Source organism: Homo sapiens, assembly GCF_000001405.40.
Source record: "Homo sapiens chromosome 9 unlocalized genomic scaffold, GRCh38.p14 Primary Assembly HSCHR9_UNLOCALIZED_CTG3".
NCBI classification, from domain to species: Eukaryota; Metazoa; Chordata; class Mammalia; order Primates; family Hominidae; genus Homo; species Homo sapiens.
In genome coordinates, this window is record NT_187374.1 from 90,718 (window position 1) to 106,399 (window position 15,682).

Consider the following 15,682-nt stretch of genomic DNA (forward strand, 5'->3'; position numbering starts at 1 on the left):
GGCAGAAAAAAAAACAGGAGACCTCGCCTCAGACAAGCGGGGCCTGGGTCCCCCATGGATGAAAGTGCCTTCCCATTATGCCATACGCTGGGCAGAGTGGACAGTGACGACCTTAGTTCAAGCCCATGGTGCGCTTCGGGACCGCTTGCGGTACCAGAAAGCGAACAAATGGTCCATGAGCGGAAGGTGGGCACCTGAGGCAGAGAAAGTAAAGAAACGCGCTGCCGAGAAGCAGTGCCTGGGTCCCTCACGGAGGAAATTGTCTTCTCGTCAGCCCGTTCGCTGGGCACTGACATCCCTGGCGTCTCTGGTTTGATCCCAGGGTACGCCTCGGGCCACTAGTGTTACCCCAAGGTGGGCAGAAAGCCCATAAGGGGAAGGTGAGGCACCTGGGGCAGAGAAAAAAAAAACTTCGCCGCAGAGAAGCGCGGCCTGATTCCCCACGGACGAAAGTGTCTTCTCATCAGTCCCTGCACTGGGACCTGGGGACCCTGGTGTCCCTGGTTCGAGCTCAGTGTGAGCCTCAGCCGCTAAGTGCACCCCAAGGGGAGCTTTGGGAGCACAAAGCCCATGAGGGAAGGTGAGTTTTGAGGGAGGAGTGGTGAGGCACCTGTCACAGAAAAAGAAAAAAAAAACAATCCGCGCCACGGAGAAGCAGGGCCTGGGTCCCCCACGATGAAAATGCCTTCCCATCAGCTCCTGCTCTGGGCCCTGTGGACCCTGGAGACCCTGGTTCGAGCCACGGGTGGGCCTCGGGCCCGCTAGGAATACCCCCCGTGCGCCTCTCTGCGCCTGCGCAGGCGCCGCGTGCCTTTGCGAGGGCGGAGCTGCCTTCTCCTCAGCACAGACCCGGAGAGCATTGCCAGGGCGGAGGTGAGTTCTCCTCTGCACAGACTTCGGAGATACAGCAAAGCGGATCATGTGCTCCTCAGCACAGACCCGGGCGGGCGGGCCAGGGGCACCGCGAGGGCGGAGCTGCGTTCTGCTCAGCACACACCCGGGGGACACCGCGAAGGCAGAGCAGCGTTCTCAGCACAGACCTTGGGGGCACTGCCTCGCTTTGGGACTACTCAGAGCCGCATCGATGGTGAATAAAATCCTTCCTGTTTGCAGCCCTGAATAATCAGGGTCAGAGACCAGTTAGAAGGGTTCAGTGTGGAAAACGGGAAAGCAAAAGCCCCTCTGAATCCTACCCACCGAGGTTCTCCCCAGCCAAGGCGAGGCGGCCGCAGTGCGAGATCCACACCACAGCCTCGGAAGACAAGCGAGCAGAAATCCCATGAGGGGCAGTTGAGGTTTGAGGAAGGCGAGGTGAGGCACCTGTGGCAGAAAAAAAAAAAACCGCACCACGGAGAAGCAGAGCCTGGGTCCCCAACGGACAAAAGTGTCTTCCCATTAGCCCTTGCGCTGGGCCCAGGTGACCCTGGCATTCCTGGTTCGAGACCAGGGTGCGCTTCAGGCCGCTAGGGGTACCCAAAAGCGGGCAGAAGGCCCATGAGGTGAAGGTGATGCACCTGGGGCAGAGAAAAAAAAAAAACAACCGCGCCGCGTATAAGCGGGGCCTGGCTCCCCCACAGAAGAAACTGTCCTCACATCAGCGCTTGCGTTGCGCCCCAGGGACCCTGGTATCCCTGGCTCGAGCCCAGCGTGCGCCTCGGCCTGCTAGGGGTACCCCAAGGCAGACAGAAGGCCCATGAGGGAAAGGTGAGACACCTGGGGCAGAGAAAAAAATAAAAAAACTGCGCCGCCCAGAAGTGGGGCCTGGGTCCCCCACAGACGAACGTCCCTACCCATCAGCCCTGAACTGGGCCCCGGAGACCCTAGCGTCCCTGGCTCGAAACCAGGGTGCGCTTTGGACCCGCTAGTGGTACCTCAAGGCGGGCAGAAAGCCCATGAGGGGAAGGTGAGGCACCTGGGGAAAAGCGAAAAAAACAAAAACAAAAACAAAAACGTCGCAGAGAAGCAGAGCCTGGGTCCCCGAGGAAGAAAGTGTCTTCGCATCAGCCCTTGCGCTGGGCCCCGGGGACCCTGGTGTCCCAGTTTCGAACCCAGGGTGTGCGTCTGGCCACTAGGTGTACCCCAAGGCAGACAGAAGGCCCATGAGGGGAAGGTGAGGTTTGAGGGAGGAGCGGTGAGGCACCTGTGGCAGAAAAAAAAAAAACGCGCCACGGAGAAGCAGGGCATGGGTCCCCCACGGACGAAAGTGCCTTCCCATCAGGCCCTGCGCTGAGCCCCGTGGACCCTGGCGACCTTGGCTCAAACCCAGGGTGCGCCTCGGGCGGTTAGGGGTACCCCAAGGCGGGCAGAAAGCCCATGAGGGGAAGTTGAGGTTTGAGGGAGGAGAGGTGAGGCACCTGTGGCAGGAAAAAAAAAAAAAAACCGCACCGCGGAGAAGCGGGGCTTGGGTCCGGCACGGACGAAAGTGTCTTCCCATCAGCCCTTGCGCTGCGCCCCGGGGACCCTGACGACCCTGATTCGAGCCGAGGGTGCGCCTCGGTCCACTAGGGGTACCCCAAAGCAGGCAGATGGCTCATGAGGGGAAGGTGAGGTACCTGGGGAAGCCAAAAGAAAAAAAAAACTGCGCCGCGGAGAAGCGGTGCCTGGGTCCCCCACGGACGAAAGTGTCTTCCTATCAGCCCTTGCACTGGGCCCCGGGAACCCTGGCGTCCCTGGTTCGACCTCATGGTTCGCCTTGGGCCGCTAGGGGTACCCCAAGGCGGGCAGAAGGCCCATGAGGCAAAGGTGAGGTTTGAGGGAGGAGAGGTGAGGCACCTGTGGCAGAAAAAAAAAACGCGCCACGGAGAAGGGGGGCCTGGGTCCCCCATTGACGAAAGTGCTTTACCATTAGCCCCTGCGCTTGGCCCCGTGCACCCTGGCGACCCTGGTTCGAACCCAGTGTGCGCCTCGGGCCGCTAGCCGTACCCCAAAGTGGGCAGAAGCCCATGAGGGGAAGGTGAGGCACCTGGGGCGGAGAAAAAAGGAAAAAACCTCGCCACGGAGAAGGGAGGCCTGGGTTCCCCACGAAAGAAAGTGCCTTCCCATCAGACCCGGTGCTAGGCCCCAGGGACCCTGGCATCCCTGGTTCGAGCCCAGGGTGCGCCTCGGGCCGCTGGGGGTACCCCAAGGCGGACAGAAAGCCCATGAGGGGAAGGTGAGGCACCTGTGGCAGAAAAAAAAAAAAAACCGCGCCGCAGTGAAGCTGGGCCTGGGTCCCCCACTTACGAAAGTGCCTTCCCATCAGGCCTTGCGCTGGACCTCGCGGACACTGGTGACCCTGGTTCGAGCCCAGGGTGCGCCTTGGGCCCGCTAGGGGTACCCAGAAGCGGGCAGAAGGCCCATGAGGGGTAGGTGAGGCACCTGAGGCAGAGAAAAAAAAAACTATGCCGCGGAGAAGCGGGGCCTGGGTCCCCCACGGAAGAAAGTGTCTTCCCATCAGCCCCTGAGCTGGGCCCACGGGACCCTGGCATCCCTGGTTCAAACCAGGGTGCGCTTCGGGCCTCTTGGGGTACCCCATGGTGGGCAGAAAGCCTATAAGGGGAAGGTGAGGTTTGAGGGAGGAGAGGTATGGCACCTGTGGCATAAAAGAAAAAAAAAAAAACCGCGCCACAGAGAAGCAGGGCCTGGGTCCCCCAAGGACGAAAGTGCCTTCTCATCTGCCCTTGTGCTGGGCCCCGGGGACCCTGTCGTCCCTGGCTCGAATCCAGGGTGCGCCTCTGGCCTGCTAGGGGTAACCCAAAGCGGGCAGAAGGCGCATGAGGGGAAGGTGAGTCACCTGGGGCAGAGAAAAAAAAAAAACACACAGCACTGCGGAGAAGCGGGGCCTGGGTCCCCCACGGGTGAAAGTGTCTCCCCATCAGCCCTTGCGCTGTGCCCTGGGGACCCTGGCATCCCTGGTTCGAGCCCAGGGTGCGCCTCTGGCCGCCGGGGTACCACAAGGTGGACAGAAGGCCCATGAGGGAAAGGTGAGGCACCTGGGGCAGAGAAAAAAAACTGTGCCACGGAGAAGCGGGGACTGGGTCCCCCACGGACGAAAGTGTATTCCCATGAACCCTTGCGTTGAGCCCCAGGGACCCTGGCGTCCCTGGTTCGAGTCCAGTGTGCACCTAAGGCGGCTAGGGGTACCCCAAGTCGAACAGAAGGCCCATGAGGGGAAGTGAGGTTTCAGGGAGTAGAGGTGAGGCACCTGTGGCAGGTGTCCATCTGTAAACTACTTATCCATGTGAGCCCTGATGTCCACCAGGGGCTGGATGTCCCCCTGGGGCTAGATGTTCGCCTGGAGCCTGGTGCCCACCTGGGGCCTGATATCCAGGAGAGGCTTAGTTATCCACCTATGGCCATCTGGAGCCAGATGCCCACCTGAGGTCTGGTGTACACCTAAGGCCCGATCTCTACCTGGGGCTTGGGTGTTCATGTGGGGCCTGATGTCCACCTAAGACCATGTGTTCACCTGGAGCCTGGGTGACCATCTGGGTTATGATGTTCAGCTGGGGCCCAGAGTTCAGCTAGGGACTGGGTCAACCTTCTGCTTGTTGCACACCTGGGGACTAGGTACCCACCTGGGCTCCAGTGTTCACTGGGGCCTTGTATTTACCTAGGACCAGTCCATCCATCTGGGGTCTGAGTGCCCTCATGGAGCCTGGAGTTTTCCTGGGGACTGGGGTCTGCCTTAGGCTTAAGTGTACATCTGTGGCCTCATGTCCACCTTGGGACAGATGTCCACCTGGGGACGGATATTCAGTAGGGGCCTGAGTGTCCACCTGGTTTTTGATGTCTACCTGGGGCCTGGTGTTCATCTGAGGTGTGATATCCACCTGGGGCCTGGACATTTGCCTGGAACCTGATGTACAGCTGGTGCCTGAAGTTCGTCTATGCCTGGTGTCTCCCTGGGGCCAGGTAGTCAAACACAGGGCCTGAATACCTTCTAGAGTTCAGTGTTCACCTGGGGTCCGAAGTCCACTTAGGGCTTGGGTGTCCAAATAGGGCCTGGTGTCAGCTTGAGATTTGTGTATTTACCTAGGGCCTGGTTGTCCACTTGGGGCTTGATTTTTCACTTGGTTTTTGTGTTAATCAGGGGTCTAGTGTCCACGTGGGGCCTGGGTATCCACCTAGGGACTATTGTCCAGCTGGAGACTAATGACTAACTATGGCCTGGTAATCACCTAAGGCTTTGTTTCACTTAGGTACTTGGTGCCAAACTGTTGCCTGCTGTTCACCTGGGGTATGGTGTCCACCTGGGGTCTGGATGTCAGCCTGGGGCTTGTTGTATACATGTATCTTAGATATCCAGATAAGGGTCTGTTTTCTGCTTAGGTGCAGCAGTCCATCTGGTGCTTGAGTGTCAACCTAAGGCCTGATGTCTATGTTGGACCTTGGGTTCACCTGAGGCCTGATATCCACCTGGGGCCTCAATGTCCAAATGGGGCCTGATGCCCATCTGGGTCCTGGGTGTCCACCTGCAGCATGGATGTCCACTGGTACTTTATGTCCACCAGGGGCCTAATGTCCACCTAAGACCTGGTGTTCACCTGGGGTCTGATGTTCAGCTGAAGACAGGATGTCCACCTGGAGCTGAGGAATCCACCCAGGGACTGGTGTTGAACTGGGGCCTGATGACCACCCGGGGACAAGGTACACATCAGGCTTGTTGTCCACCTGTCACCAGATGTCCACCTGAGTCCTGATGTCCATCTTGATCCTGTTTGTCCACATTAGGCCTGATGTCCAGCTGGGGCCTAGGTACCCACTGGGGGCTTCCTGTTAACCTGGGGACTGGTGTCATTCTGGGGCCTAATGACCACCTGGGTTGTATTATTCACCTAGGGCCTGGTGTCCATTTGGGGCTTGAGTGTAACCTTGGACCTGGCACCCACATAGGATTGGGTATCAAACTGGCCCCTTGGTGTCCAGTTAAGACATCATGTGAACCTGGCGCCTGAGTGTCCACATGGGTCCAAATGACTACTGGGGGCCTGAATGTCAACCTAGAATCTGAGGTTTACTAGGGGCCTAGGTATCCACCTGGGGCCCAATGTCCACCTGAGCCTGGGTGTCAACCTGGGGCCTGATGTAAACCTCTAGTTCACTATCCACCTTGGGCTTAATGTCAACCTGGAGCCCGATGTCCACCTGAGTACTGATGTTCACCTTTGACCTGATGTCCACCTGTGGACTGTTTATCCACCCATGGCCTGATGTTCACCTGGGGCTGAATGTCCAACTGTGACCTGTTGTGCACCTGGAACCTAGGCATCCACCTGCAGCCTGATGTTCAGCTGGGCTGGGACCTGGAGTTCACCTGAGGCATGATGTCCACCTGAAGCTTGATGTTCACCTGGGGGCTGGGTGTCCACTTGGGGCCCAATATCCACCTGGAGACTAGGTACCCACCTGGGATCTGGTGTTCACTCAAGATTGGTGTTCAGCTGTGGCCTAATGACCACCTGGGTCACGGTGTCTACCTTGGACTGGGTGCTCACCTGGAGCCAGTGTTCACTGGGGGCCTAGTGTGCACCTGAGACTGGGGGATGCACCTGGGGCCTGGTGTCTACCTGGTGCCTAGGTATCCACTTGGGGCCTAATGTTCATCTGGAATCTGATATCCACCTGGGGCCTTGTAATTACCTGGGTTCTGGGCATCCACCTAGGGCTTGAGTATCCTCCTGGGGCCTTGAGTTTTACTAGGGACTCGTGTCTGCCTTGGACCTGGGTGTATATCTGTTGCCTAATGTACACCTTGAGAGTGATGTCAACCTGGGGACAGATGTCCTCTTGGGGTCTGAGTGTACACCTGGTGTCTGATGTCTGCCTGGGGACTTGTGTTCACCTTAGACCTGATATTCACCTGGGGACTGGGCGTCCACGAGGGGCTGATGTTCAGCTGGACACTGGATATCCACCTGGGGCTTGGGGATCCATCCAGAAACTGATGTCAAACTGGGGCCTGATGTCTACCTGCGGACTAGGTATCCATGTGAGGCTTGATGTTCATCCACGGCCAGACGTCCATCTGATGCTTGATGTCCACCTTACTCCTGGGTGTCTACTAGAGACCTCATGTCCAACTAGAATTTAGGAACCTACTGGGGGCCTCGTGTAAACCTGGGGACTGGTATGAAGCTGGGTCCTAATGATCCCCTGGGTCATATTATTCACCTAGGGCCTCATGTCCACTTGGGGCTTCAGTGTCAAACTTAGGTCTTGTGTTCATCTTTGACCTGGTGTACACCTGGGACACCTACGGACTTGTTGTCCAATTGAGGTGTCATGACCACCTGGGGACTGAATGTCAATCTGGGGTCTGATGTAAACCTCTAGTTCAGTATCCACCTGGGCCTGGTCTTCGCTTGGGGCCTGCTGTCTACCTGGGCCTTGCTGTCAACCTAGGGCCTGATGTAAACCTCTAGTTCAGTATCCACCTGGGGTCAGATGTCTTCCTAGAGACTTATATTCACTTTTGACCTGATGTCCACCTGGGGACTTGCTATCCATCCATGGTCTGATATTCACCTGGAGACAGATGTTCAACTGTGGTCAGAAGTGCTCCTGGGGTCTGGGCTTCCACCTGGAGCCTGATGTTTAGCTGGGGCTAGAGTTCACATGGAGAATGATGTCCACCTGAAGTTTGATGTTTACCTGGGGCCTGATACCTACCTGGTGCCCAAGTATTCTCATGTGCCTAACATCCACTAGTTGGCCTGATGTTCATCTGAGGGCTTGGTGTCAACCAGTGGCTTTATGTACACCTGGATTCTAGTGTCCTCCTGGGGTCTTATGCCTACCAGGAGTCTGGTGTACCCCTGGGGTCTAGTATCCACCTGCAGTCTGGGCGTCCACCTGGAGCCTAATGTTGAGGTTAGACTGAGTGTCAGCCTGAGGCCTGATGTCTACTAGGGCATAGATATTCACCTGGGGCTTGTTGTTTACCTGGGGACTAATGTCAACCTTGAGCCTAGGTATCCACCTGGGGAATAGTGTCCAGTTGCAGCCAGATGTCCACCTATGGCCTGAAGCATGGTTGTTATCCTAAGTCCTTGTATTAGTCCATTTTCACACTGTTATAAAAAACTACCTGATATTGGGCAACTTATGAGGAAAAGAGGTTTAACTGACCCACAGTTCTTCAGGCTTAACAGGGAGCATGACTGGGCGGGCTCAGGACACTTACAATCATGATGTAAAGCCCTTTTTACCATGTGGGAGGAGGAGGGAGACAGAAGGGGGATGTGCTACACACTTTCAAATAACCAGGTCTCGTAAGAACTCTATCACGAGAACACCAAGTGGGAAGTCTGCCCCCATGATTCAATCACCATTCACCAGGCTCATTCTTCAACCCATGGGGATTACAATTCAACATGAGATTTGGGTGGAGACATAGAGCCAATATCAGGCCTGATGCCCGCCTGGAGTCATGTCTACCTGAGGCCTAATGTAGACATGAGGCCTGGGCATTCACCTAGGACCTCATGTTAAGATAGGTGCTGGAGTTCTTTTGGTGCCTAGTGTATACCTGGGGCCCAGATGTATAACTAGAACCTGATGTTTCAGATGGAAACCTGGGCCCCAGGTGCTCATCAGATCCCACGTGAAAACTCAGGCTTCAGGTGCACATCAGACTCCAAGTGGACACATAGGCCCTAGGTTGATACCAAGATTTCAGGTAGACTCTGGGTCCCAGAAAAACACCCCGCCCTAGGTGGACAGCTGAACCTGAGTAGACATCAGGCCCCGGATTGACATCTGGCCTCAGGTAGATTCCTAGGCCCAAGGTGAATACTCAGTCTCCTGCCCTAGGGGAATTCAGTCTTAGGTGATTAAGGACTGGTGTTCCTCTGGGGCCTCATGTCTACCTGGGCCCTGGGAGTGCACATGGAGCCAGATGTCTATAAAGGGCCTGAGTGTCCACTAGGGCCTGAGGTTCACCAGGAGCATAGACATCCACCTAGGACCTCGTGTCCACCTAAAACCTGGTGTTCACCTGGGGCCTGGGTGACAACCTGGGATCTGATGTTCACCTGAGGCCCAGAGTTCAGCTGGTGCCTATGTCAGCCTGGCACCTGATACACACGAGACGACTAGGTGCCCACCTGAGGACTGGTGTTCATGGGGAACTGGTGTTCAGCTGTGGCTTGATGAGCAACTGGGTCCTGGTGTCCTCCTGGCAACTGATGTCCACCTGGGACTTCATGCTTACCTAGGGCCTGGTGTTCCCCTGGGGCCTGGTGTGCCCCTGAGATCTGGGGTCCACCTGGGCCTAGTATCCACTTGGGGCCTCATATCCATCTGGAACATCATGTCCACTTGGGGCCTTGTAGTTACCTAGGGACTGGGTGTCCTTCTGGCACTTGGGTGTCCTCCTGGGGCCTGGGGTTCTCCTGGGGCCTGGGTGTACATCTCTGGCCTGATGTCCACCTTGGGTGGATGTCCACCTGGGGACAGATGTTCACTTGTGGCTTGAGTGTCCATCTCGTGTCTAATGTCTACCTGGGGCCTGGTGTTTGCCTGAGGCCTTATATCCACCTGGGGCCTGGGCATCCATTTGAGGCCTGATGTCTACCTAAGACCTGGTGTTTAACTGGGGCACAGACTTCTTCCTGGAGCCTGACGTTCATCTGGAGCCTGAAGTTCACCTGTGCTTGTTGTCTACCTGAGGCCTATGTGTCAACCTAGTGCCTGATGACCACCCTGAGTTCAGTGTTCACCTGGGGCCTGACATCTGTCTGGAGTCTGGGTGTCCACATAGGGCCTGATGTTGGCTTGGGACCAAAGTATTTACCTAGGGCCTGGGTGTCTACTTACAGCCTGACTTCTACATGGTTCATTGTGTCAACCTGGGGCCTGATGTCCACTTAGGTCCTAGGTAAGCTCCTTATGACTAAAGTCCACATGGGGGCTGAAACCATCTCAGACCTTGAACCTAGGGCTTAGTGTCGACCTGAGACCTGGTGACCCCCTGGGGTCAAGGTATCCACCTTGGGCCTGATGACCAACTGGGGTTTAAGGATCTACCTAGAGACTGGTGTCAACCTGGAACCTGATGTCCACTTGGGGTCTGGTGTACACCTTGGGCCTGATGCCCACCTTGGCACAGGTGTACACTTTGGGCCTAGTGTGCACCTGAAGCCTGGCTGTCAACCTGGGTCTTGATGCACACCTTTAGTCAAGTGTTAAACTGGGGCCTGATGAAATACTGGAGCCTGATTTACACCTGTGTACTGGGTCTCCACCTGGGGCCTGATGTCCACCTGCAGCCAGATATCCACCTGGCACCAGATGTCTTTGAGGAATCTGGGTGTCCACCTTGAAAATGATGTATTCCAAGAGACTAGGCATGCACATTGGGCCTGGGGTGCACCTAGGTCCTGATGTCTACCTGAGGCTGGTATTGAGCTGGGGCCTGTGTGTTCACTTGGAGCCTGATGTTCATTTGGAACCTGGTGTTCACCTAGGACATGGGTATCCACATGGATCCTGATTTTCAGGTGGGGAGTGGATATAGATCTGGGACCTGATGGCCACCTATGCTATAAGTAACCCAACCACCTGAGGCCTGATGTTCACCTGCAGCCTGATATCCACCTGGTACCTGTGTGTCAATCTAGTGCCTGGTGTCCAGTTGAGGACTAGGCAGACACCTGGGGCTTGGCGTTCACCAGGGGCCTGGTGTTCATCTTGCACCCAGTGTCCACCTGGACCCTGTGTATCAACCTGTGGCCTAGGTGGCCACTGTAGCTTTATGTGCACCTGGGGCCTGAGAGTTTCCTAGGATCTGATGACCACTGGGGCCCAGGTATCCACCTGGGATATCAGGCTTCAAGTGTACACCCAGGCTCCATGTGGACACCAGGCCAGGAGAATGCCAGCCCTTATCTGAACATCAGGTCCTAGATAGACGCCCAGGCTCCATATGTACATCAGGCCCCAGGTATACACTGGACTCCAGGTGGACACCACACTCAATTGGATACACACACTTAAGGTGGATACCAGGCCCCACGTGAATTCCTATACTCCAGGTGAACATCAGGTCCCAAGTGGATACCTGGACCCCAGATGAATACCAGTCTCTAAATTAATACCAGGCCTCAGATGGTCCTTAGGAACCATGTGGGCATTAGTCATCAGGAAGTTACCTAGGCCCAAAGTGGACATCAGGCCCCATGTTGACACAAGATCTAGTTGGAAGTCAGGCACCAGGTGGACACCCAGGCCCTAGGTAAATACTTAGGTCCCAAGTTGACAGCAGGCCCTATGTGAACACTCAGAACTCAGGTGGACATCAGGCCTCAGGTGGACATCTGAGTTCATCTGGAACCTCATGTTACAGGCCCCATGTAAACACCAGGCCTTAGATGGATACCCAATCTCTAGGTAGACATCAGAGCTCAGATTGACACAAAGACTCCACTAGACATAATGTACCAATGAATATCCAGGCGCCCGGTAAATACCCAGGCCCCAGATTGACACCATGGTCTATGTGGACACACAGGCCCCGGGTAGTAAACAGGCCCAAGGTGGACACTGGACTGGACATCAGGTCCTAGGTTGACAACCGTGCTCCAAGTTGACACCAGGCCCCAAGTGAACATCTGGTCCCAGCTGGACACTAGTCCCCTGGTGAATACCTGGGCTCAAGGTTGACATCAGACCCTATGTGAACACTAGACCCCAGATAAACACTTATGCCCTAAGTGGACATCAGGCCTCAGGTGGTTACCCAGTCCCAAGGTGAACATCAGGACCCCGATGGGCACCAGTTATCAAGTGGATTCCTAGGCCCCAGGTGAATATCAAGCCCTAGGTGGATACCGAGCCCCAGGTGGATACCTGGATCCTGGTAGACATCAGGTCCCAAGAGGACACTAGAACCCAGGAGTACATTAGGCCACAGGTTAACACGAAGGCCCCAGATGAATACCAGGCCAACTTGTGGACATCAGGCCTGAGAAGGGTCCTTGGGCTCCAGGGGGATATCAGGCCCCAGGTGAACATCCAGCACTCAGATGAACATTAAGCTTCAGGTAGGCATCATGCCTCAGGTGAACTCCAGGCCCCAGCTGAACATCAGGTCCCACGTGGATGCCCAGAATCCTGGTGCACATCTGGTCACAGTTGGACATTCAACCCCAGGTGACCATCAGGCCATGGGTGAATACACGGTTTCCAGGTAGACATCAGATCAAAGGGGAACATCAGTCCCCCAGTGGACATCAGGCCCAAGGTGGACACTCAACTAGAGGTTTACATCAGGCCACATGTTGACACCTAGTCCCAGGTGGACATCAGGCCCCAGGTGGATACCTAGGCTTCCAGTGAATTTCAGACACCAGGTTGACATTCAGGCCCCCAGTGGTCATCTGGCCTCATGCGAACACTCAGACCCCAGGTGCAAATGATGTCTCAACTGGATACCAAACCCCTAGTTTGATACCCAAGGCCCAGGTGGACACCAGGTCCAAGGCTGACACTCAAGCCCTAAGTGAATACCAAACTCTAGGTGAATAATTCAACCCAGGTGGTCATTAGGACCCAGCTGGATACCAGTCCCCAGGTTAACAGAAGGCCCCCGCTGGGCACCTAGGCACCAGCTGGACATCAGGCCCTATGTAAACACCCAGGTCTCAGGTGAACACCATGTCCCAGGTGGACATCAGGCCCTAGGTGGACACGGGGCCACAGGTGGACATCTAGCCCCTGGGCAACATCCAGCCCCAGGTGGACATAACCATTTCCATGGATAAACCATTCCCAGGTGGATAGCAGGCCTCAAGAGGATGGCAGTCACCAGGTAGACATCAGGCCTCAGATAGACACCAAGGTCCCAGATGTACAGCAGGCCCCAACCGAACCCCAGACTCATGTGGACATCAGGCCACAGGTAGACACCAAGCCTTAGGTAGATACCTAACTTCAGGTAGACATCAGACCCAAGGTGGACACCCAGTCCCCAGGTGGACAGTCAGGCCCCAGGCACACATCAGGCCTTAAGTGGTCACCCAGGCCCCAGGTTAATATCCAGTTCCCAGGTGATCACCAAGCCCCAGGTAGACACCAGGCCGTAGGTGAGCAACAGGATGCAGTAGGTCATCAGGCCACAGCTGGATACCAGTCCCTGGTGAACACAAGGCCCCAGTGGGACACAGATCTAAGGCAGACATTAGGCCCCAGGTGGATCTGGGTGGAATTCACCCTGAGGGGGACATTCGGCCCCAGGTACGCATCAGGCCTCAGCTGAATAACCAGTCCCCAGGTGGACATTAACCCACAGGTCAACCACAGTCCCCAGGTTGATACCTGGTCCCCAGGTGGCTACTCAATCTGCAGGGTAACATTAGGCCCCTGTAGGATCCCAGGCCCCAAGTGGATTCCTAAGCCCCTGGTGAACATCAGGTGCAGGTGTCCAAGTAGGCCCTGGGTGGACATAACTGTGTACAGGTAAGGAGTTGACCTATGGGGAGGATGAGCAGTCAGAAGCCCACTGGGGTCCTGCGTAGGTCTTCTGGAAGGGGGAGGCTGAGGGGATGGAACCTTAAAGAAGCAACCTCACTTCTTTGGCAACAGACCCTAACAGAACTTAGAATTCTGGTAACCAGGCCAGGCACGGTGGCTCACACCTGTAATCCCAGCACTTTGGGAGGCTGAGGCAGGAGGATCATGAAACCAGGAGATCGAGACCAGCCTGAACAACATGGTAAAACCACATGTCTACTAAAAATACAAAAAGCAAACAAGGTCAGGAGATCAAGACCATCCTGGCTAACACAGTGAAACCCCGTCTCTACTAAAAATACAAAAATTAGCCGGGCGTAGTGGTGGGCGCCTATAGTCCCAGCTACTCGGGGGGCTGAGGCAGGAGAAAGGCATGAACCCAGGACACGGAGCTTGCAGTGACCCAGATCACGCCACTGCACTCCATCCAGCCTGGGTGACAGAGCGAGACTCTGTCTCAAAACAGACAAACAAACAAACAAAAAACAAACACAAAAAAACTAGCCAGGTGTTGTGGTGCATGTCTTGGGCCTGTAATCCCAGCTACTCAGGAGACTGAGGCAGGAGAATTGATTGAACCCAATAGGCGGAAGTTGCAGTGAGCCGAGATCATGCCACTGCACTCCACCCTGGCCAACAGAATGAGACAATGTCTCAAAAAAAAAAAAAAAAAGAATCCCGATAACCAGGCACCCACATCCTAGAGTTAGCCCTGTAGCCAGCTCACTTGGTGGGAGATGCTCAAGAGAGCAAGACGTTCTTGTGCTGCATCCCCACATCTCAAGGCTCCTGCTTCAGGAATGGCAGGAGTGAGAGCCTTTCTTTTCCAACGATGCCCTTGTAAGCTCATCGCTCACTCCAGATGCCTCTGGCCATTTGACAGAAGGTCCCCCCAGGTACCACAGGACAGGAGTCACCAGGTAGACATCAGGCCCCAGATGGAGCTACCAGGCCAGGCCTCACCAGTGATCCCACCAGGGCCACATCTGCACATTGTCCTTGTCCAGCTGGAGCCTCTGGAGCTCATTGAGACACAGGCACATGGTGAGGTCACCTGCAGTCTGGAAGTCTTTCCAGGGACAATGTTTTCAGGCTGAAATTCCTTTAAATTCAGTGAGGTTGTTTTCATGTTTGGAAATTCCAGTGGAAAGTGAGTGATATTGGTGACCTCTCTCCTTTTGCAGCTCCTGCTTCAGGTGCAGAAACACAGCTATTTCCAGTGCCAGCTGTTGAGCCAGTGCCAGCACCAGGGGCAGAGCCCCTTCCAGGGACAGCGCTGGAGCTAGAGGAAGCTCCAGAGCCCTCCTGCCGCTGCCCTGGGACTGCACAGGACCAGCCTAGTGAGAAGCTGCCTGACTTCATGGCACCTCCTGTAGAGCCACTGGCCTCAGCCCTGGAGCTGAAAGTGTGGCTGGAGCTAGAGGTGGCAGAGAGGGGGTGACCAGCACAGCTCCAGCCAGCAGCTCCCACACTGCTCCCAGTCCTGGGCACAGTGGAAGCTATGGAGGCAGAGACCAGGGTGTGCAACCTGGGCTCCTCTGCCTCACTGGAGAGGGACTTCTCTCATTCAGCAGAGCAGCAGCCCTGCTGCTGAAGGCCCTGCCGCTACTGCTGCTGGAGGTGTTTGCCTGCCTGCAGGAGGTGCTGGAGAGCAAGAAAAGGAGCCTGTGAGCAGGGGTTCCAGCAGGTCCTCCTGCTCCCAGAGGCGACCTCCTCCTCCAGGAATGGAGGTTTGCCCTCAGCTGGGCATCTGGGCCATTTGCCTCTAATGTGCTGCCCAGGATGGCCTCTTCTTGACAGGTGGACAGGGGTTGAGGGGGCCAGGGGGCATCTCCAAAGGAAGCTCTTAAACTCAGCAGCAGCACTCCAGAATCTCCATGCCTGCACCTGCCCAAGGATTTATTCATAGCTTAACTAAGAATTTCAAATTTCTACCATAACACTGAAATAAAGTTTGACTTTTTGAAACTTCCATGACTTCTTTCACTCCCTAATATTGTAGATGGTGTTTTTGAGGTGACGTTGAAAACCTCTGATAGTTGTGTATTTTGTTGTGGTTCTTTGGGTGATTAAATTACCATCTGATCAAGTGATATTGAAAACCCTTCAGGTATGGCTTTTAGAAGACTTTGACCTATTTTTGCTTGTGTTGACTCTCCCTCCAGCTTTGTGGAAAGAGGGATCATGTAGG

General features: G+C 55.5%; 1 pseudogene across 1 annotated transcript; it reads left to right on the plus strand.

The window, feature by feature from the left end:
* Window positions 1-1,613: 1,613 nt before the first annotated feature.
* On the plus strand, window positions 1,614-15,463 carry LOC102724750 (uncharacterized protein C2orf27A-like; annotated as a pseudogene). Its single transcript, XR_007068534.1, has 3 exons — window positions 1,614-1,704; window positions 5,311-5,628; window positions 14,676-15,463. The product of XR_007068534.1 is annotated as an uncharacterized protein C2orf27A-like (transcript).
* Window positions 15,464-15,682: the final 219 nt, after the last annotated feature.